This window comes from Homo sapiens, chromosome 4 (genome assembly GCF_000001405.40).
Source record: "Homo sapiens chromosome 4, GRCh38.p14 Primary Assembly".
NCBI lineage: Eukaryota > Metazoa > Chordata > Mammalia > Primates > Hominidae > Homo > Homo sapiens.
In genome coordinates this window covers 23825132-23847590 of record NC_000004.12, presented here as the reverse complement: position 1 = coordinate 23847590, position 22459 = coordinate 23825132, and the positions used below count along the sequence as shown (strand labels likewise).

At 36.6% G+C, this 22459-nt stretch overlaps 1 protein-coding gene across 28 annotated transcripts in view; it reads left to right on the top strand.

The window, feature by feature from the left end:
• Window positions 1-22459, top strand: part of PPARGC1A (PPARG coactivator 1 alpha) — a 680885-nt gene that overhangs the window by 625315 nt on the left and 33111 nt on the right. For 26 of the 28 annotated variants that reach the window (NR_148982.2, NR_148986.2, NR_148983.2 and 23 more), the window contains 3 exons: window positions 15840-16034; window positions 18006-18128; window positions 18987-19191. Coding sequence is in view for 21 of the 28 variants with exons in the window: in NM_001354827.2 (NP_001341756.1) it covers window positions 15840-16034; window positions 18006-18128; window positions 18987-19191 (523 nt within the window). In the remaining 7 variants the exon portion in view is untranslated. Of the gene's footprint in view, window positions 1-15839; window positions 16117-18005; window positions 18129-18986; window positions 19192-22459 lie in introns of all 28 variants that reach the window. The other 2 variants (NR_148981.2, NR_148987.2) reach the window with 2 other exon arrangements.

Sequence of the window (22459 nt, the reverse complement as noted above, 5' to 3'; positions counted from 1 at the left end):
GCTTACACAGCCTATGGTCAGAGGTAACTCTAATGTGATCTGTGATTCTTTGTTTTTAAAGGTGTTCAATCTGATGGCAGTAGTCATTGTAATAAGACTTTTGGCTGGCGGGTGTTGCCATCATACACTAAAGAGATTTCATGACTTAAGACATTTCATGGACTCACAAGTACTGAAACAGGGTATGAGTGGTAATGGAGGAGAGAACTGTGACTCAGGAAAGAAGACTCCTTCGGTCAAGGGGCCAGACTTGGTATGCACTGGACAAAGATAAAACATCATGTTCTGTGGCACATGTGAGGGATTCTGGGCATCTCAGTATGCCACAGCTGGTTCTCACTGATGGGCAAGCCTTCTCCTTCAGCCTACACATTAGATCATAACAAATATTCTCACCTTTCCTCAAAGTTTTTATTATTTAATCTTTTACAGGTGTGATTCTTAGTCCTGGCTTCTATTAGAATCTCACCTGGGAAGATGTTAAAACTACTAACTCCCACCTCCAAAGATACTGACTTAATTGCTCAAGGGTGTAGGGAAGGGGCAAGCATATTTTTTTAAATGCATATGTGATTAAATTTAAAGCCAACATTGAGAGTCACTACTTTACAAGCATCTATTACTCTGTAAGAGTCAGAAGAAAACCTTTATCCCAGTATGAAACCTTTTCTAAGAAAAAATATTTGTGCCCTGTTTTTGTAAATAAGCCTGATTTTTAAATCTATTTTGGCTTTACATAAATACAAATAGAGTTCTTATTGCTTTTTCCTTTCATTTATTTCTCACAGTTGTTTATTTTGTTTATAGTAATTTATTTTGTCTATCATCTCTCTTCCCCCAACAGAATAAGCTCCTTGAAGGCAGGAATTTTTAATTATTTTGTTCATCGCTATATCCCCAGTGTCAAGAGTGTCCGACACATGCTAGGTGCTCAAAAAATTCTTGTCAAAATTTTTGACACTAATTTTGATGCACAGATCATGATTCCTAGTCCCAGGAAGCTTGTGATCTATTAAAAACACACAGACATGAAAATACAATCCAGTATTTCTATGGAGGTTAATGAATTGTAATATATTTACAGTAGGTTAAACAATGTTGAGTTTTAAAGAAAGCATATGGCAAATGTAAGAGACAGAGTCTTTGCCACTTATTTCCTTTTATTCTCCTGATAAGCAACATGGTATAATAGAAAAACTAAGGAGCCAATAGTTCCAAAACAGATGTAGAATTAGATCAGTTACCAGAGGACATTGAGAAAGTTTGTTTAACCCTTTGGATGTCAGGCTTCTCATCTCCAACATCATACTGTTGGAAGAGTTGACCACGCAGCTTTTACTATTCAGTGTTTCCATGTTACTACATCCTATCGTTATAGGAGCCACAATGTGGCAAGGCATTAAATGGCATGTTTTTCCTTTTCATCGTTCTGTAAATCTTACATTTTTATCCAGATCCATTTACACCTGTCTTGTCATTTTCCATGCTGTTACAGGGACACGTGCTTTTTTATCCTGTTATCAAACTCACTTTTAAAATCCCCCTTTGAGGTTATTAGCTGCTTTGTCTAACCCAATGTCATATGCTTCTCCACTGTGCATGCTCTCCAGATATGCATATAAGTCACTGATAATCATGAATGAGTCTGCATTTGGAATTGATTCAGTGTGAAGTATTTAAAGATTCTTCACAAGGGGTTCACTCAGTCTGGCATTAAAAGAAGCTCAGTATCTAAATCCTAGGAGATTGCAAACTTGCTCAGATGCTTTGGAAACCTAAACCCATGTAAAATACTTAGATATAAAGTCATTGAGAAGATGAACTTCTCATATTGTATTTGTTCGGCAAGCATTTATTGACAACCCGTTGCTCTGTGCAGAGCACTTTAGTGGAATACGAAAGTTAGTCAAGGAGTCAAAGACCCAATCCCAAGCTCTAAGTGGCTCCTAGTTTCTTGGAGAAAGGAGCTGGAAAGGCTCAGAGGATTAACATGGAGCACACTTGGATCTCTTTCACCCTAGATGGCCTCACAGAAAGGACACCCTGCCTCTGAATAGCTTCCAACCACCTTGAGACAATTTTCTCTCATTCTAATGCCATTGCCAGGATATTACAGTAATCAGATCATTTGACGTTACCTGCATCTTAGTGTCCGCAATCTTAATATACCATATAGATCCAAGTGTCAGGAATCTGCAGCTGCACAGTTTCACATATTATCTTGTGGTGCTAAGTCTTTATGAACAAATAGCATTGACCTCTGTGATGGTGCCGTCTAAGCACTTCTTTTTGTCAGCAAATATACTATCTTATAGAGAACTCACAGGTTGTAATAGGAAATTATTCTTCCTTACATAATGTAAAAAACACTGGTTATGCCTAGGGTTAATGTAGTCTGCTAATTTGTAACAGCAGAGCTTTGTGAGGTATTCACAGCAGGCCTCCGTGCTAAAGTCCTGGTGCTGCTGTTCTGATTGATCAATGTTCTTGTGCGATGTTTGTTAAATATTTTGCCTATCACCCCCCTCCTGCTTATACCTATACGTAAACCATGAAAAAGTAATTTCTTACTCATTGCAAGTTCCCCCTCAGGGCCTTTGGCCCTTACTCTTACTCTTTTCCCTGTCTAGAACATTTCTTTCTTAGCTATTATGCTTTGCTGCTCCAAATGCTACCTCTTTTTTTCTCTTTCTGTATGTATGTGTGTGTGTGTGTATATAATATATATCATATATTATAATAATATATATCATATATTATAATAATATATATCATATATTATAATAATATATATCATATATTATTATAATATATATCATATATTATTATAATATATATCATATATTATGATATATCATATATTATAATAATATATATCATATATTATGATAGATCATATATTATATGATATATATTATTATAATATATGATATATATCATATAATATGATATATATTATTATATATTAATATAATATATTACTATATAATATAATTATAATTATTATATATTAACAATATACAATATAATTATGTGATAATATATAATATATTATATGATTATATTATGTGATTATTATATTATTATATTATATATTATGATTATTATAATATATTAATATAGAATATATAATAAATATATTCTATATTATATATAATATATATAATATATTATATATTATTATATGATAAATAATATAGATTGTCATATTATAATCTATAATATATTATAGATTATTATATTATAATATATAATATAGTTTATGATTATTCTAATATAATATGTTGTCATGTACACATGGCCTTGTGTCATTAGTTGTATTTTCACTGCTCCTGTCTCACTCCCTTGACTAGATTATAAACTCTCTGAGGCTAATAAAAATAATTTTTTTGTATGTGTGTTTATGTTTTATATATACACACATATGTATACTGTATTCTCCCGATGTATAAATATAAAATCTATTATTATCTGCCATCCTTTCACCACCAAACTAAAATGCAAGTTCCTAGAAAACAAATTATAGTACATAGTAGGCACTCAATAAATATGTGTAAATAAAGATATATATATAATATTTGTAAATACGCACATAAATATGCATGTTTATATGTATCTGTAATATGTATGTGTAAAAATGTATATATGTATACTTATGTATATGTATCTGTAAATATGATATTGGTCTGCATGTATGTTCACAAATGAAGGGTGTGTCAGGTATAGATATTTTAATTCAGCTGAGTATGGATTAAAGGTGATCATTCTGTGTAATAACTGGCAAGCAGTCAGTGATCATGTCAAACCATGCCTGTTAACTCTAGCATCTCAACCTTAACTAGTAACTGGGAGATAATGAATTTTATACAAATTGTAGGAATTTTTGAGTAATATGTATTTAGTAATTTTGGTACCATCCTTACAATTTCTACATTGTGTAGGCTTATTGTACAGTGTTCTTCCTTTTTCACTCCATTTGTTCATGTCTTATCTCTTCCTCAGATTTGTTTTCAACAAATCCATATTTTGTCTCACTTATTTTGAATTCAATTTAGTGCATGAAAATGATAATGTTATTGTTATTAGCAGTAAAGATAAATCCTCACTATATACCAGGCACTGTTCTATATGATTTGCATGGATTAGCTCAGTCAGTTCTGAAAACAGCCCTGTACTGTAGGTCTTATTAAGGTTAAGTAACTTGCAGAAGGTCACACACCTTGTAAGTGATGTACTCAGGACCCCAAATCAGGAAATCTAACTTTGGAGTCTGTATTTTGCCTCACTGCCTATTTCAAATAATATAGCAATATTATACGGCCTTTAAAAAATCTTAAGTTGAGAAATGCTTAAGACCTCTGTGAAAATATATAGAAGAAAATCCTTAAGAATCATTTAGCAGGTAGACTATGTAATAAAATAGACTCCAGAACTGAAATGAACTTTATGATAATGGTGATAGTCAGAAGTTGTTGAAGAAAGAGAATGATTGGCAATATAAAGACTGAGCTGCCTTAGGACTGCCAAAAACAAATTCGGGAAGTGAATAACCAATATGCTGTAATCAACAGGGAAGGGCAGACCATAAAACAACTAGGCACATTAATGTAAGATATTGGGAAAAATAGTTCACATTGAATAAATAAAAATGTGTTAATAATAACTATTAAGATCTAGAATCACATGTGTTAGAGAGAATAAATCTAGCATAGATGGAATCATACATTTCAACTTGATTTACACACTACTCAACAGCCACAAAACAGCAAATTACCCAAACTTGCCTGATTATCAGAATCGCCTGGGTTGCTTATCAAAATTACAGAATCCTAGGCTCTACCTCCCAGGGCAGTTGTTCTCAACTGAGGGCAATTTTGCCTCCCAGAAACATTTGGCATATCTGGAGACATTTTGGTAGTCATAACTGGAGGTGTGCTACTGGCATCTAGTGAGTAGAGGCCAGGGATGCTGTTAAGCATTCTAAAACACACAGGACAGCCCCCAAAACAAAGGATTATCTGGCTTAATATGTCAACAGTGCTGCAGCCCAGAAACTCATATCTAGAGATTTTGATTCAGTGGTCTGTGATGAGGCTTTGAAATCTGCATTTCTGTCTATGGATCCAAGTTTTTCTGATAAAAGATTGGAAACTTGGTGCTATCAATAGAGTTGGACTTGTTGAAAAACATCCCATGGAAGGGAATGCTTAAGGTAGGCTTTGAGTAGGGATAGAATAGAAACAAAAGATGTAAAGAGGGAAGAACATTCAAATAGAAGAGCAAATCACACCCAGTAGGATAAAAAAAGGCTGTGAACCAACACTGGGCCAGCCAGCAATAAATAGTGAGAATCATTTGCAAAGCAACCTCCTCTTTCTGCATGGAAGGCCAACTGTGCCTCATGGCATGTAACTTGCATCTCCCACCTTAGATTTTAGCTGACAATAAATGCATGCTATGTCATTCTAACTCACTTCTTAGTCCCCAATATGAAGATAAAATAGCCCACGCCCACTCATTTTTCTAATAATATCTTCCATAAAATCCCAAAATATAAAGAAAGGGAGTGAGAATGATATTTCATCAGATATATCTGGTTTAATATCCAACTCTGTCTTTCATTAGCCATGTGAGTTTGGACATAATAATAGGGTTAAATGGGTGGTTTCCATTAAATAATGCATGTAGAGAAATTAACTCAACATCAGGAATATAGAAAATAGTAAAGATCAGCTGCTATTTACTATTATTATTATTTATTAAAGTAATATTTATCTAAGAGAACTATGGCATTATTTAAATGAACAGAAAAAGTACAAGTTGGGATTTAAGATGATGGCAGGTTCTTATCATCAATCACAGCAACTGATTATTTTGTGCTTTGTTTTGTTTGAAGGGGATTGAGAAAATCCTGCTTCATAGAAATGAGTATTTTAAAATGGCTCCAGGTTTGAAACTATTCACCCTCAGTTCTCAAGGTTTTTAAAAATCTGAATACAATACAAAACGATTCAATTTGGCTGCTTAATTTGGTCATGGTTTCCACTGTGTTTCTGTATTTATGATAAGAAAGTTAACACACGTGAGTGTGTTTTCTAAAAAAAAAAATGACTTCTTTTGGCTATGAATTAAGGTATATAAATACATAAAATATACACTATAATATTTATAATAAATCCTTATACCAGCTATTCTAGTGTCCAGAGTTCTATGAAACATAGTTTAAAAACTTCTGGATAAGATTAATATATATTCCCAGCTTGAAGATGAGTGTGTTATATGGTATGGAATGAAGAAGGTCACCACTCTAGTTCAGATAGATTACATCAATGGTTTTCTCTTGACTAGAGAGTCAATACTCCTGCATGGTCAGAGAGTAGGTTTGTCTGGCATGATTATCTCTTCACGAAAGCATCTTGACTCTTTCAAGATGTTTGCAAATTGATTGCTTGATGATGTGTCCCAGTATCCTTCCAGACAACAGATTTGGGTAAATTTCTGCGTTTTCAAGACCCATTTAAACTTCCTCTTTTACAAAAGATGATCATTACATTTACTTCTATAGATTCACTGCCTAGGAGTTCATTTCAGAATTAGGCCCTCTATAGCTGTAGCTGTTCATATTCTTTCTTCCCCACTAAGAATATATCACTTGCTTGCCTGGCCTGTCAGCTGGTATATGTGAAATGAATGTGAGATAATTTTGAATCATAGCCTAAGCTAAACATTATTAAGAAGACAAATTGTCCGAGGATAGGAGGAGGTGAGGATTACAAAGAAAATAACAACAACAACAACAAAAGAAGAATGAAAATCCATATATTCTTATATTATCAGGATGGATTAGACTCTTTAGTTACCATTCTAACTCATTTTAGTTAAGCCTCTCCTATATACTAAGTATCTCAATAATAATCAAATAGGTCTCACAGACCTCCCCTTTTAGATAGTTCATGAAGAAGATAAATCACTAAAACATATGTTGAGTCAGGGAGATGAATGCCAAAGGGAAAAATAAGATAGGGAAAATGTGTAGAATGTGTCCAGAGTAGTTGGGAAATGTTGCACTGAGAAGGTGACACTTGAGTAAATGAGGGGACAAAGGGGCAATCCATGTGGCCCTCTGGCAGAAGAACCTTCTAGGAAGAGAAAACAGCAAGTGCAAAGGCCTGAGGACAGGAGAATGCTTGGCATTTTTGTGGAGTAGTGAGGAGATCAGACTGATTGGGAAGGATTCAGATAGGTGAATGAGGGGTTGCCAGAGTCAGATGAAGTTGGCCAAGTGTAGGGCCACCATACATTCCAGTTAGCCTGGTGTAGTCTGGGTTCATCCCTGAGTAGCTGATTATGTGCACTATCCGCTCTCCCTCTCAAAAAAGGTTCTGCTTGGATGATAAATTATATGGCGATCCTTGGTTAGTAAGGCACTCTTAAGATTTAGCTTTTAGTCTTAGAGACATGAGAAGCCACGGAGGGTTTGGTCAGAAGAGGGGTTTCACATGACTTAGGTTGCATCAGGATCACTTCGTCTTCTGTGTTGAGAATAAAATATTGAGATGGGTTGGCAAATGGGAAGCCAGTTAGGAACCGATATGGTTTGGCTCTGTGTCCCCACCCAAATCTCATCTTGTAGCTTCCATAATTCCCATGTGTTGTGGGAGGGACCTCGGGGGAGATGACTGAATTATGAGAGCGGGTCTTTCCTGTGCTGTTGTCGTGATAGTGAATGGGTCGCACGAGATCTAATGGTTTTAAAAACGGGACTTTCCCTGCACAAACTTCTTTTTTTTTCTGCCTGACACCATCCACGTAAGATGTGACTTGTTCCCCTTTCCTTCCACGGTGATTGTAAGGCCTCCCACCCACGTGGAACTGTGAGTCTAACTAAACATCTTTCTCTTGTAAATTGCCCAGTCTCAGGTATGTCTTTATCAGCAGCGTGAAAACAGACTGATAGCAGAAACCTATGGGATTTTCATTCGAGACTATGCAATGCAGCCAGAGAGTTGAGTTGTTTCACTTGAGGACATGTAGCTAGCTGGTGGTGGAAATGGATCTAGGATTAATTCTCCTGACTTCCAGTCTGGACTTCTTCCCACAGTGCCCAGTTTCTCTTTCAGTTTAAACTTGAGAACAAATAGAATGCCTTGCTCGCTCTTTTCAGGCCTATTAAGTCTCCAGTTTGATGGCACAACTCAGTTCCTTCCTCTTCCCATTGTGAGAAATAGGCATGACCCCCACAACCTCCCCGAACCTTTTTCCCCTTTCTCCTGAAATAGCTCATTTTGCATATATTAACCAGGAATTTTTAGGACTTTCTGTTGAACTTCTGTATTTATACTTCTGGCTCTTATAACCTCTACAGAATACTGAATTTCACGTGTACAGTACATATTTATTAACTCATGAATGTGTGATAGAAGCAAATCAATAAGGATGGAGTCTAAGTACAGATGTGAATATATGTTTTATGCCTGTTTAAATAGGAATATGTGTATTAATTGGAATTAAATGGATTCCCATGGGTCTAATTATGTCTGTGAATTCTTCAATTTTGTTTATATTTTATTTCCACTTGATTCTTATTTTATTTTTACAGGAATTAGCCCTGGTTTTTGATCGTTGCTTTCCTCAGTTAGAGTGGCTGAGAGGAGCAATGTATGTACAGATTATACATTTTTTTATAGTCAACTACAATTGAATATCAGAGAATGCACTCAAGGCATTGAGATATATATGTGCATTAGATTCTGTTTTAAATATGTGTGCTTGAGATATAAACTTGTGGGTGTGATATGGACAGACATATTTACACACGTGGTATTTCAAGTAGCCTGTATGCCCATGGGGAGTTACTCAGACAGTGAAATTAAAATTTATGTTATTTCTACCGGCCCACAAATTCCAGCAAATTTGGCATCCAACAGGGCAAAATAGATTGTCATATAATGTGCTTATCTCTCATGGGAATAAAATAAGAATAAGCTAACTCTCAGGGCATATGTAAGAAATGAGTGGACAAAAAGCATTTTATAATGTGTTACGAAATGTAAGGTGGTATTTATTGTCTTGATTTTTTTATTGCACACATATGCTTGAGATTTCTTTTCTTTTTCCCCACCGTCCAGTGCCCATACCTTATTCTCAGCCCTGTATTTCATATGACAAACAAAAAGTAATTGGGTTATTTTAAGGACTCCTCCTTTGAGTGAGGTAGGAGCTAGGAACCTCTCAGTCATTACATGTGGGAGTCCGCCCACTTTTGGTTGGGTGTGTGAGAAAGGGGCACAGATATACTGTCAGTGCCCACACTTGGGTATAAAAGAAGCAAAAACAAAACCCACAGTGGATTGCAGAGATTTTAGAGGAGAAAGATAACGAAGAGGGAAAAAAAATCAATTGTTTGAATGTGGGTATTCAAAATACTTAACAACCTATAAGCAAAGGCTCAGAGCACTTTAAGTAGACACATGCAGTGAAGTGGTGTCTGTTCTGATTAGAATGGGTTAAAGAAAAAAGCTAAAAACCTCAAATCCTATTCCAGTAGTCAACTCTGGATTGTTATTTTTAAATTTTATTGCAGGAAAAAAACTTAGTTTTCTTTAAATTTTGACTTTACTTTCTTATAAATATTGAATCAAACTTTATGCATCAGAACCAAAATCTGTACATTTCTGCAAATATTTTTTGCTGATCCATGCATGAAACAGGTACAAGGTTTTATCTATGGAGATTCAAGAAAGAGACACACCTCTGACCCACTGTATTTCTTATTTGAACTCCTGAATCTATTATAAAAGTTGCTTTCCCATGTAGTTATTTGAAGTCCTGGTGGGGCCTAGCGGAACCAATAATCCAAAGTAGTGGATAATCCAAGAATGTCATTTATATTTGGCTTTGGAATACATTACCAGATGTTACTCTAGCAGATTTCCTTTCCTAATTAGGCCTCACTTAAAGTAGGAGTTAATTTTGTCTTCATTAGCTGTTTCCAAGTCAGCAGGATGGGGCAAGGAGGAAGCCTGGGGCATGCTGGGTATTTGGGGGGAGTTGGCCCAGTGCTAAACGTCTGTGGTAGATCCTGTTCAAAGAACAAAATTCAAACACAGATAATCAAGTTGATGGGAATATACACTGGAAATGTTTATGAACACCTTCTTGAAGAATTCTCAGGCCTTTGTCAACTCTTTTTTTTTTTTTTCTATTAATCATGAGTGCAAAAAAATTCCGTAATAGGAATTAGGCAAATAATCACATTAAATTTTGTACAGAAAAAAAATTAGAGGCTCAGAGAGGTTAAGTCACCTCTCACACAGATTGATCTCTAAGTACACAGTACCTAAGATACTGAAACTGATTAATGAATGATAAGAAGACCCCACTGTTTCCTTCTTATTGATGATTTGAATAATGAGGAAGCGAGAATTCTTCTGGCCTAATTCACATTAAGAGAGCCAAGATAATGAAGCTGTGATTAAATGGCTATTAAACTATTTTTATCAAACAGAGATCAAGCGAGTGTGAGAATCTGGGGACACAGAGTGTAATTGCAATCCTACAGGATCCAGAAAAAATTACTAACATAAGCAGGGCATGGTCCTTTCATAATAGCTCGCATTTAGAAGTCTTTGGGATACCGCATGCAGTATTCACTCTGCATTTCTCCCTTCAGGTGGCAGTTAGCATCTCAGAGTCCCTCCTCTCCTCCTTAATTTAGTGGATTTATTGACCCTCTGTGTGCAGTTGGGTGAGTTGAATGCACTGTCTGCCACACCATGTATAACCAGTTGGAAGATCCTTTTGCCAACTGTGCACAAAGGAAGAAGACCCAAATATTACAAACTGGGTTCAGAATTTTAATGTAGAGGTGCCCCTGGCTACCTGAAGGGCCAGAACCTATCTTCTTTCAACTATGCCTTTTAAATGATGTCAGACTAGTACAGGTCATAGAGGGACTCAGCTGTCCCAAAGAGCAGAGATAAACCTTCTCATTTTGTTGACTGTTCTAAACTATCATTTATTAACGACACGGTAACACTTAGGAATTGTTGCAGATTCTAAATTTTGGGTTGTTAGTATAAATGCATGTGTATCATCTGTCACTGGAAATTCTTTACACCATGAGTGAGTTTTTGTTGATGTGCCTTCTTTCTTCCTAGAGCGCCCTTAGAGAATAAGGTGTTACAGTCACACAGACCTTTATTTAGGTCGGAAGAATTGCATTGTGTAAGGAGAACCCAAGGTTGACACCCACCATGGGAAATGCTGTTTGATAGCCACAGAGCTCAACTGTGGAAATGCCCGTTGGCCTGTTTTCTACCTTTCCTTCCGCCTCTGCTGCCAGCTCCAAGGCTGAGCTTAGTTTGTGCAGCTGTAGATCACTGTCTAATTGGTGACCTGCTCTTTCTTCCTCCCTACTCTGCATTTTCTTTTCTTTTTTCCCCAACTCGGATGGAGCTAAGACATATATTTTTTGTAAAATAGTATTTTCAAACAATTAGAAAGCAGTATCAGAGCCGAGTCTTTGAAAGGTTATCTTGCAATGTCAGTGCAGTGACTAATGTGTTTCTATACCCTGTCACCTGTGAACAGACATGTGTGAGTAGGCCAGTGTGCTTCATCTGCGGTGACTTTGATTTATTTGCTCTGTAAATTGGGACCAAAGCAATAATGGGAAGTGACATTAATTGTTTAACAGAGTCCTCTTTGTCACATCCATTGCCTTCTCCGGGGTGTTTGATTGTTGAAACTCATGCTAAACTAATTGAAATTGCCACAGTGAGGGGCAATATCCACTCAACATTATATAAACACAAAGTGTCATCAGCAAATAGCAAGTTTTCTTCCCAGTTTTCTATGATTAAAGAAAACACAGACAATTTGAAACAATAACTTTTTCCTTCCTTAATTCACTAAAAAATTTACTAAAATAAATGGTCTTGGAGCACCTCTGTGAGTCACCCACATACAGAGATAACAATAATATCGAATAATCATTTGTAATGGATACAGACCGTAAATAATCATTACAGCCCTATGGTAGATACTGGTTGAATAGTAGCCCTTACTACCCACATACTCCAACACACACACACACACACACACACACACACACACACACACAAGCCGCCATGCTAATCTCCCATCTTACAAATCCTCCCTCTCATTGTGTTTCCAGTAGAGAGGGGAATTAAAATAGTTGGTGGTTTAATCAGATCTTATAAATTAATTATGACATTATCAAGCTCCAATATTTTTGCCATTGTATTTGTTATACATTCTCCCAGACTTATTAAAGAAATTGGAGAAAACTGGTTGATTTAAGTGTTCTTTGTCGTTTTAACTTGATTGGAATTATCATAGTTTGTTTACACTAGGGATAGAGCTAAGGCGCCATTGTATTATGTGATTGAAAGCAAATAACGGCTTGTAGTATTGCTGGAAAGCCAAACACAAAATTTACATCATAGTAAACAAAATTATCCATTTATTGGTAAATATTCTTAACTCTTTTTCTTGAACTGTTTTTGAACATCAATGAAATAAGCCTTTTTGAAAAACGGAATACTTGGAAAAATGCCCAATTTACTGAAAGTGTGTATATGTGTCTGTGTGTGCATGTGTATTTGATGTATTTTCTAAAATTATTAGATAATATGGAGATAGTTATAATGGTGTAAATCTCATGACTTTGAGATGATTTTTTAAATACATGTATTTCATTTAAATATAATTGTATTCAGAACAGTTAAATAACCTCAATTTAATTTTTGTATGTGGGGGAATCAAAGAAGGGAGTTATTGAAATCTTTGGATACCAGATTATGATCCTGGGCAGAAAATAAGGAATATCATTTCAGCCTATTTAATATTAGAATTACATATACAGGGTCCTTTCAAAGGCATATTGAAAGAAGGTAGATTGAAGAATCTACCTGAGGGCCTGAGGGTATTCAATAAGCTTCAGTTATTGACTTGTGCAATTTGGATTTTTACAATTGGTCAGTTTATGGAAGTAGGTGGCACCATTTTGAAGTTAACAGTTACCCCTTCTGATTAGGATTTGCCTCCTAAACTAGAGGTTTGGTTGTTTTTTTTTTTTGAGACAGAGTCTCCCTCTGTCACCCATACTGGAGTGCAGTGGCGTGATCTTGGCTCACTGCAACCTCAGCCTCCTGGGTTCAAGCAATTTTCTTGCCTCAGCCTCCTGAGTAGCTGAGATTACAGGTATGTGCTACCACACCCAGCTAATTTATATATATGTGTGTGTGTATATATATATGTTTTTTTTGAGACAGAGTCTCGCTGTGTCGCCCAGGCTGGAGTGCAGTGGCAAGATCTTGACTCACTGCAAGCTCCACCCCCCGGGTTCACACCATTCTCCTGCCTCAGCCTCCCGTGTAGCTGGGACTACAGGCGTCCGCCACCACGCCTGGCTAATTTTTTTGTATTTTTAGTAGAGACAGGGTTTCACCATGTTAGCCAGGATGGTCTTGATCTCCTGACCAAGTGATCCGCCTGCCTCAACCTACCAAAGTGCTGGGATTATAGGCGTGAACCACCGTGCCCAGCCAATTTTTATATTTTTAATAGAGACGAGGTTTCACCACATTGGCCAGGCTGGCCTTGAACTCTTGGCCTCAAGTGATCTTCCTGCCTTGGCCTCCCAAAGTGCTAGGATTACAGGCATGAGCCACCGTGCCCTGCAAGTGCATTAAAGTTTTAAACTTCAGACACACCATGTTGCACCCAAACTCAAATCCAGGGACGTGAGAGGGATGCATTATGCAAATTAAAAAACGTCAATTAAAGTCCCTGGGGAGTACAAATGGCTCTTTTTGGCCTCTTGAATCCAAAAGAAGTCCTTAGTTTTACTGCTGGATGGAGGGTGATCAGGAATTAAGGAAAACAATTTTTATGTGAAAATAGAATGTATACGTGATAAAGGCCTGCCTAATTTCTCTAGTAATACAATTTGATTTTCTGATTAGCTATCTTATTCTGTGATTCTTGTAATTTTGTCAGGTCAATTAACTGGAGTTCAGTGCTAGAGAGAAAGGAAGTGTGGGTACTGCTAGCTTCATTAGATGTCAGCAGCTAGGTGCATTTTATAATAAAATCTGTGTGGGATAATTTAGCCCATATTGTTAATGTCATAGCATACAGAACTTTCAAAAGAAGATTTTGGAAGCAGGTCAGATTGAACAAACAATGTGAAGTGCTAAAAGAAGGAAAAGAAAATGGTCCAGAAGATATTGTTGGCAATAAATGCAGATCAATGAATTATTTAGCAAGTAATCATTGATTAGCTATGCCATGTGCCCAGTGTTGGTACTGGTTGTCCACGTGCATAGAATATCACACACTGCCTTGTTAACAAGGTACATGTTTGGAAGTCCTTGAACATTTTTTACAGAGTACTGAAATAAATATTATATTTTATAATGAATTGTTTACAGGTTCTTCCCTTCCACAGTAGTGTTATTAGAGGGACAGATTTTGTCTTGTTTCTTTTTGTATCTCCCACACTTCAGATGTCCCTGGCACAGAGTAGATGTTCAAAAATGTTTGTTAAGTGAATGATTGAAGATTAGCTTTCTATGAGTGTGTTGGTGGGAATGAATCAAAAACAAGGTAGAATATATTTGCAGGAGCCACTATTAGAAATAATAGTGCACTGGGGCCGGGCGCAGTAGCTCACGCCGGTAATCCCAGCACTTTGGGAGGCCGAGGTGGGTGGATCACGAGGTCAGGAGATCGAGACCATCCTGGCTAACATGGTGAAACCCCATCTTCACTAAAAATACAAAAAAATTAGCCGGGCGTGGTGGCGGACACCTGTAGTCCCAGCTACTCGGGAGGCTGAGGCAGGAGAATGGCTTGAACCCAGGAGGCGGAGCTTGCAGTGAGCCGAGATCGCGCCACTGCACTCCAGTCTGGGCGATAGAGCAAGACCCTGTCTCAAAAAAAAAAAAAAAGAAAAAGAAAAAGAAAAAGAAATAATAGTGCACTGGAATAGTACCCCAGCCACAAGAAATAAGTGCATTTAACAAACATTACAAAGTAAGACTTTATTCAGTGACTGATCACAGAAAGAAGAGTAAAAATACGTCCAGAGTTTGGGTATGAAGAATTGTTACCCAAACTAAAGAAGTCAAAAGAAATAGCAGTTTTGTTGTGAAAGGTATAGAGTTTGGGTTTTGGGGATGAGGGAGCTATTATGAAGTAGAAGTGTCCAGTAGGCAGTTCGAGATTTATGACTAAAGTTGGGAGAGATGTCAGGGAGCAAAATAAATAAATGATTTTGGAGTGTTCAGTGATGAGATTATAATTGAAACCATGAAAGTGTATAGTTGCTTTCAGTATAGTTCCACTTTCTGGTGTTGTTCAAATAAAGAGCTGTCTAGACAGTTTGGGGGGTATGCTGTATAGGAGATTCAAACACTATATCTGAAAATGAAATTGATGGTTAAAATTCTCTCAAGGTCCAAGATTCTCTAAATCTTTTCTTTTACTCAGGGAAAGAAAGAAAACATGAGCAAGTGGAAAACACTTCTGTAACCAAGAAGAATTGCATACAGCAGTTTTAGCACTGACATAACAAATCGATAAATTAGGCAGCTCAACCATCAGAGATTAGTAGAGTAGAGGTATTCATTAATTGTGTCATTTGGACCAAAACATGAATTTGGAGTTTGAGAAAGACATGATCTTTGTGTTCTGGAATGGGCATTCTAGATTTCACGTATGGTTCACTCATTTGGTCAAACATGTTGATGCATAGTGTTACCTGCCTCCCAGGGTCAACTCACATCTTCTGTTTTTTTCTCTTTCTGCAGAAGATAGATGAAGAGAATGAGGCAAACTTGCTAGCAGTCCTCACAGAGACACTAGACAGTCTCCCTGTGGATGAAGACGGATTGCCCTCATTTGATGCGCTGACAGATGGAGACGTGACCACTGACAATGAGGCTAGTCCTTCCTCCATGCCTGACGGCACCCCTCCACCCCAGGAGGCAGAAGAGCCGTCTCTAGTAAGAACCCTTCCTACTGTTTAGCAGGAATTGGAGTTGCCTCTGGCTACCCGCTGCATGGGTATGATGTAGTCACAATAAGGTTTGGATTTTTTCATTTAGAATGATGCCAAAGCAATCCCCAAGCACACTCAGAGTTGCAAATTGTGTGATTCTCTGTTTAAAAGTGTTGATAATACACGTCTTCGTGTAGTCTTATTGCAGTTTTTTTTACTATCTTTTGCTGTTATGTGTGTGTATTTTTCTATCTTAGTGTTATTTATGTTCATGATGAAAACTTAGAAAATGTTGGCAACTAAAAGGAAAAGACTAAAAATTTCACCTGTGATTTCAAATAACCTCTCATATAAAAATGATTGCAATATCCTTTCAAGATATATCATGAGCATATGGGTTCAAATTTAAATACATGCATAATTTTTAATGGTTGCATAGTATTTTATTGTATGGAAATATTCTAATTTATTTTGCAATCTTTTATGGGTGGATATTTAGTTTTTTCTTCTATTTTTCACTATTTCAAATTGTATAATAATTAACATATTAGCATTTTTATTCTTATACATACAATCCTAGAAAGAATTGGTAGATCAACGAATGTGCAATGTTTTAAGACTTTGGATCCATATTTCTTATGAAGATTGAAAAACTATAGCACGTTTGCCACCCAAGTTACTTAAATTTATGGTAGACAATGAAGACTGAATTTGTTGGAAATGAAGAGAGAATTTTCTGTTCAATGCAGTGCTTGACCAGAGTTTTATTAGTTCTAAGACACAGTTTACCTTCTCATCTATGATAGCCATTTGTCATTTGCTAAAAATCAGACATAAGGACATGCTGTGTAAATTATGGGATGCCATGATCCTCCAGACTCTAATATCGTGTTTGGCATGCCATTTAGAGGTTGTTACTCTCCTATCACTAAGTTTTTGAATGTTAAAAATACTCTATGCAAATATATGGAGGCCCTACTTTGAGTCCATTGGATTTTGAGGTTTCTCATATGGAGAATATCTCATAAGTAATTGTTATTTATTCTCCAATTTCTCCATTTGTTAGTGTCATTGGCTTTGCTCCCTAGTACCCTGATTTCTTTCCATTGATATCAGATTGTTTTCATCTATTCAATTTGTTCATTTGGGAAGAGCAGTTGACTCAGAGACATACTGTATGTCAGAACAGGGAAGTCCTTGAGGGTCATCCAGTGAAATGAAGAAACAGAGGTCAGGAGACAGCAAATACTTTGCCTGTGTCAGAACCCACATCTCCTGATCCACAGGCCAGGACTCTACTTACAAATCCTTTTTTTCTTTTCTAAAATCAGTGATAGTCATTCTTTTATCCAAACATTCTTTGAATCAGTAATTTCATACACCAGGTTATGAAACACGGTTCAAAGCATCACAAAATCTTTCATTTGTTGCCACTTGACTTATTTGGATTTTTAGAAAGAAAATGTGTATCTATTCTCCCCCACCCCCCACACTCCACTCCCATGTCTTCATTTAGCAAGGCAGCTTTTCTCACCTAGTAGTGATTTGGAAATTATTTTAGAAAGATGTTTTTTGCTTTATTTGTTCAAAAAAAATATGTAGACAACACCAAGTCCAATTTATGCAGTAATCCCTTATGGCTGGAAATTTTGAGATTTTCCTTCTACTTTTCACTATTATTTCTTGTATAATAATTGGCACATTTGCATTTTTGTTCTTATGCATACGATTCTAGAAATTGAATTGGAAGGAAAGGAAATATTTTCATAGTTGGTAGTGTAATGCCAAACTTTTTTCTACTCTTTAAATATCATATTTCCTGTAGCACTATTGCGCTAAGGTGTGACATAAATAAAATGATAGAATTAACTTTTATAATTATAATAAATTACATTTAAAATTTCAATAACTTATTCCAATGCTTAAAAGATGCATAACTTTACTTGCTTTTCCCTTTCCCTGATAATGTTTCTAGCTTAAGAAGCTCTTACTGGCACCAGCCAACACTCAGCTAAGTTATAATGAATGCAGTGGTCTCAGTACCCAGAACCATGCAAATCACAATCACAGGATCAGAACAAACCCTGCAATTGTTAAGGTACAAATGTAAATTTTTTAATACAGGGGGGATGTACCAAAGGATTTTGGCTTGAAGCAGTAAAACAAATAAGTTTGTAGGTATTAATTCAGCTGGGACCCCGAAGCTGCCTCATAATGATGAAATAGATTATGAATGGGATTCCGTAAACAGCGCTTGAGCTACTTTAAACTAGGCAGAGTTCATTTACGCATCGTCTTTGGGTGTTTGGAATGGAAGTGCCACTGTCTGTTAGTTCTTGCCCACTTTATTGTTACCTGCAGCATTGTGGGCCACGGTAAAATTTGCTGATAAGCTGGTATTATCTATGAGTGGCTTTAAGATGCAGAATTGCTGTTTTGCTAGCTGTCTAACCTGAGAAAGATTGCTTTTGGAATCACCACAAAACATCTATCTCTGCCATTAATTGGATGGAATGCTGGCAATGCCATAATTCAGCTAGTGGGCTGTATTAAACAATGTTTGTCTTGCTATTCACTGTGAGTGAAAACGGAGCATTAAGGGGTACTTAAGAGAGTTGTGAGTACTGGGCGTCAGCAATCAGTGGCAAATTAAGGTTTAAGCCAGCCGATTTTTTTTATTCACAATAAAGGCGCTGTAGGGTCTTGTTAGTTACATGTTGCTGAGTAGGAACATTGAAATGTAGGAGAAATAAAATAAAAAGCTGCATAAATGTCATTTAGGAATTTTAAATGTAATTTTCTTTCCTTGTTCTGCAAACAGTTATTCACAGCTCATAGATCTAGTACACTTAGACTGAACACTTCATTGAAAAATCCCATCTCTCCAGAAAACCTATATCCATTCTGATAAGGTTCAGTTCACTAATTTTAGCTTTCTTTATGCCTTGTTTTTAAGACTGAGAATTCATGGAGCAATAAAGCGAAGAGTATTTGTCAACAGCAAAAGCCACAAAGACGTCCCTGCTCGGAGCTTCTCAAATATCTGACCACAAACGATGACCCTCCTCACACCAAACCCACAGAGAACAGAAACAGCAGCAGAGACAAATGCACCTCCAAAAAGAAGTCCCACACACAGTCGCAGTCACAACACTTACAAGGTAGGCTGGGGACCAAAACGAGCTGTTGGTGAGGGCACTGGAAGCAAAGAAAGCACATGCAAAGTCTGAGAACACACCAACTTCTTGCTTCCGTCCCATCAGCGTCACTCTGTGGAAAGAGAATTCAGCACTTATTACAGAGCGGGGGAAGAAACCTTTCCTTGGACACAGGTTAAACATATTCTATTCAGCTGATAGGCAGTCTAATTCACAAGCACCAAAAGACTCCTGAAATGTTAGCCAGGTGGTGAGGAATTGCAACATCACATGATGTTTATATGAATCTCAGAATAGCTGAGATAATTGAGGTTATGAACAAGCTGGGCTAACCAATTCATTATAGAGCTTTTATTTTTTCCCTTCCAGTAATGGAAAAAATGAGGCACCAGTGATTTGTTATATACACCTTAAGAAGTAGTAAATAGTGTTTATGCAGCCTCTCTTGATTACTAAGTACATTCCTTTTCTAATTCTTCTTGTTCTTTCTTCTTCTTTCTCCCTCTCCTTCTTTCTCCTTCTCCTCCTTCACCTCCTGCTTTCTCCCCTTCCTCTTCTTCTTCCTCTTCCACTCCTTCTTCCCCTTCTCCTCCTTTTCTACAACCACATGCTATGCTCACAGATTTTATTCTGTAAATAAAGATTTGAAAAATCCTGATTGTTTTCTTTCTATTTAAGAAAGTGCCTAGATTAAACTAAACATCTGGGTTGATTTTTATTATCACCATATATTGCTGGAGAAGGCTGATGGTTCTGAGGCAGATCCTGGTGATTTGGGGAAAACCTCTCTTGGCAGAGATACAATTTTCTATCTTTTAGGCTCCTCCTTCTCAAAATGTCGTGGTCTTAGAAGCCCAAAGACCCCTTGAAATGGGCAGTTGATTTAAAACATGCCAGCTTCTACTTTAACCTTGTGGTGGAAGTAGGCATATTATAACACACCAATTATAAACATATACCTCTTTTTTTTTTTCACTTTCATTTTCCCAACTTTTCCTTTTAACTGCAGAGTGGGAGCCAGTGATTTCTGCTTTGAACCATGATTAATTCGTGTAGGTATGCTGTTATTGCTGCTGATTCAATACGCTTTTTTTCCCCAGTGTTCTGAATTTTCTTCCCTCTTCACTACCTCAGTATTAGCCCAGGATTTTCAGAAGCCTTCCTGTAATATTTTAAAATGGCTTTCCATTAGGTTTTCCCTGGTAGATATCTCAAATCCACTGCCCATCACTTTCTGTCAGTTTGGGAAAATATAATTAGTGAAATGGACCGCATTCTCATTGCTCCAGCTGGATCTTCCTCATAAGCACTAGAACAGTTTTTCCTGGAGTAGAACCACTCTGCCATAGGCCTTGTTGGTCATGAAGGCCTCAGGTGAGGGGAAGCAGATGAGCTCGCTCTAGTGAGTGAACAAATGAATTCACCGGGCTACTCCTCACCCTGTGCTGGTCATGCATGCATTTTCTGGGGCCAAATTTAAAGTCCTTGTAATATGTGACCCAGCCCGGCAGCACAGGTTTTAAAGTTGTTTTTTTTTTCTTTTAGTAAACTTTTACAAATCATGACAATGAAGAATTAAATAGGCCTTTGGAGGAAATTTTCTTTAGATGAGACTGGCTGTATTTGGTATATATCTGTGGCAAGGTACAAAACGCTCACCCCAGAACAAAACCTGTTGACAAACAGACAAAATTCTTTAGTTATGAAAGGCTTAAAAGAAATGAAACATGGCTGACAAGTAAGAACTAATAAATGCTCAACTTCAGTGATTATTTGAATTATTATTCAAAATCAAAATGCGGAAAATACATGAACAATTAGAGATAACTAGGAGGATCGATTGAAATTACCTTTCTTAAGGTGTTGTAATTTTTTTCTCACTGAACATCACGTATGATCTCCATAAAACGTTTTGGAGTCAGGTTCTTTTCCTTAGGATGATTGTCTAGCCATGGTTGTGTGTTGATGTCTCATTTATTTGTTCATTTATTCATGCATTCACCCAAATACCACAATCTACATGAAAAAGACACATTCCTGACTTTAAGGATCCTACTAGTCTCTGGTCTACCAGTCACTGGAACAGGGTGGATTAAACTCTCAATAAACCAAATCAATACTCCTCTAATGGTGGAATTAGAGAGTCTGGGTTTATTCAGGGATCGGATTCTGTATGTGGTTTGGGGACTGTCCCCTTCTTATGGCTCTCATTTCCTGTTTGCCTTTGGTCTCATTAACTATGACTGTTGCCATCTCCTCTCCTTTCATTGACTTTGACCTTACCTGTACCCAACAATCAGAATTCGAGAGTCTTCCTTTGAGCATTTCAAATAGCCTACCCTACCTCTTGAAAACCAGAATTTCAGTGACTGATTTTCAATGTACATTTATTGTGTCACATAGCATATAGCTAATATCTGGTTATATTTTCTATGGAAGTTGTATGAATTATCCTAATTATTAGTTGAGTATCATAAAACTTGGTAAAGTTTCTTCATAAATGGATTCTTTTTGAAAAACTTGTTATATTAGACATACTCAAAAATTAATGTAAAATCAGCTCATTTATCTGTGTAAATGAAAAACTGAATCAATGTATCTAATTTGTTGAAGATATGAGCTTCATATTTCTGGATGTATGATATACCATTCAACTGTGTAGATCTAAATCTATAAATATGCAAATACTATTTATCCAAGTAAAGTGTCTAATTTCAGGTTAATTTGGACATGAATAATATTTTCACATTTCAAAAAAATTGATTGCTGGGGTTGATTAATTTACTTTAAAGTCGTTGAATGCAATTTCTTTTGACAATAGGATAAAGGAAACAGAATCTTGGCCAACTCTGTGAGTAACTATTTTATGGCCCTGAAAATATCACTTAGTATCATTGGGTCTCAGTTTCTTCAACCATAAGATAAGAAACTTTATTCTAAAGACCTTTTTGGTTTTGACACTATGATTTTCATTACATAAATAACTACCACTTGACCTTTTGAAAGTAATTATTTTAATGAGAAAAAATTGACATAAACCTACATACACATAAACATATGCTTATAGATAAGCATAGATATACATAATACATGAATGTATAGCCCAAGTATGCCTCTCATCATATTTTCCCCTCCTTCTGTTCAAAATACAAGATTGCCACAGAGAAGCAATTGAAATTTTGGGTGAGAAGATTCTTAATCCACCCTTCATTATTGGGAAATGCCTCCTGTAGGAGGTAAGATTCAGAAAAGCACAAAAGGCAGTAGTTAG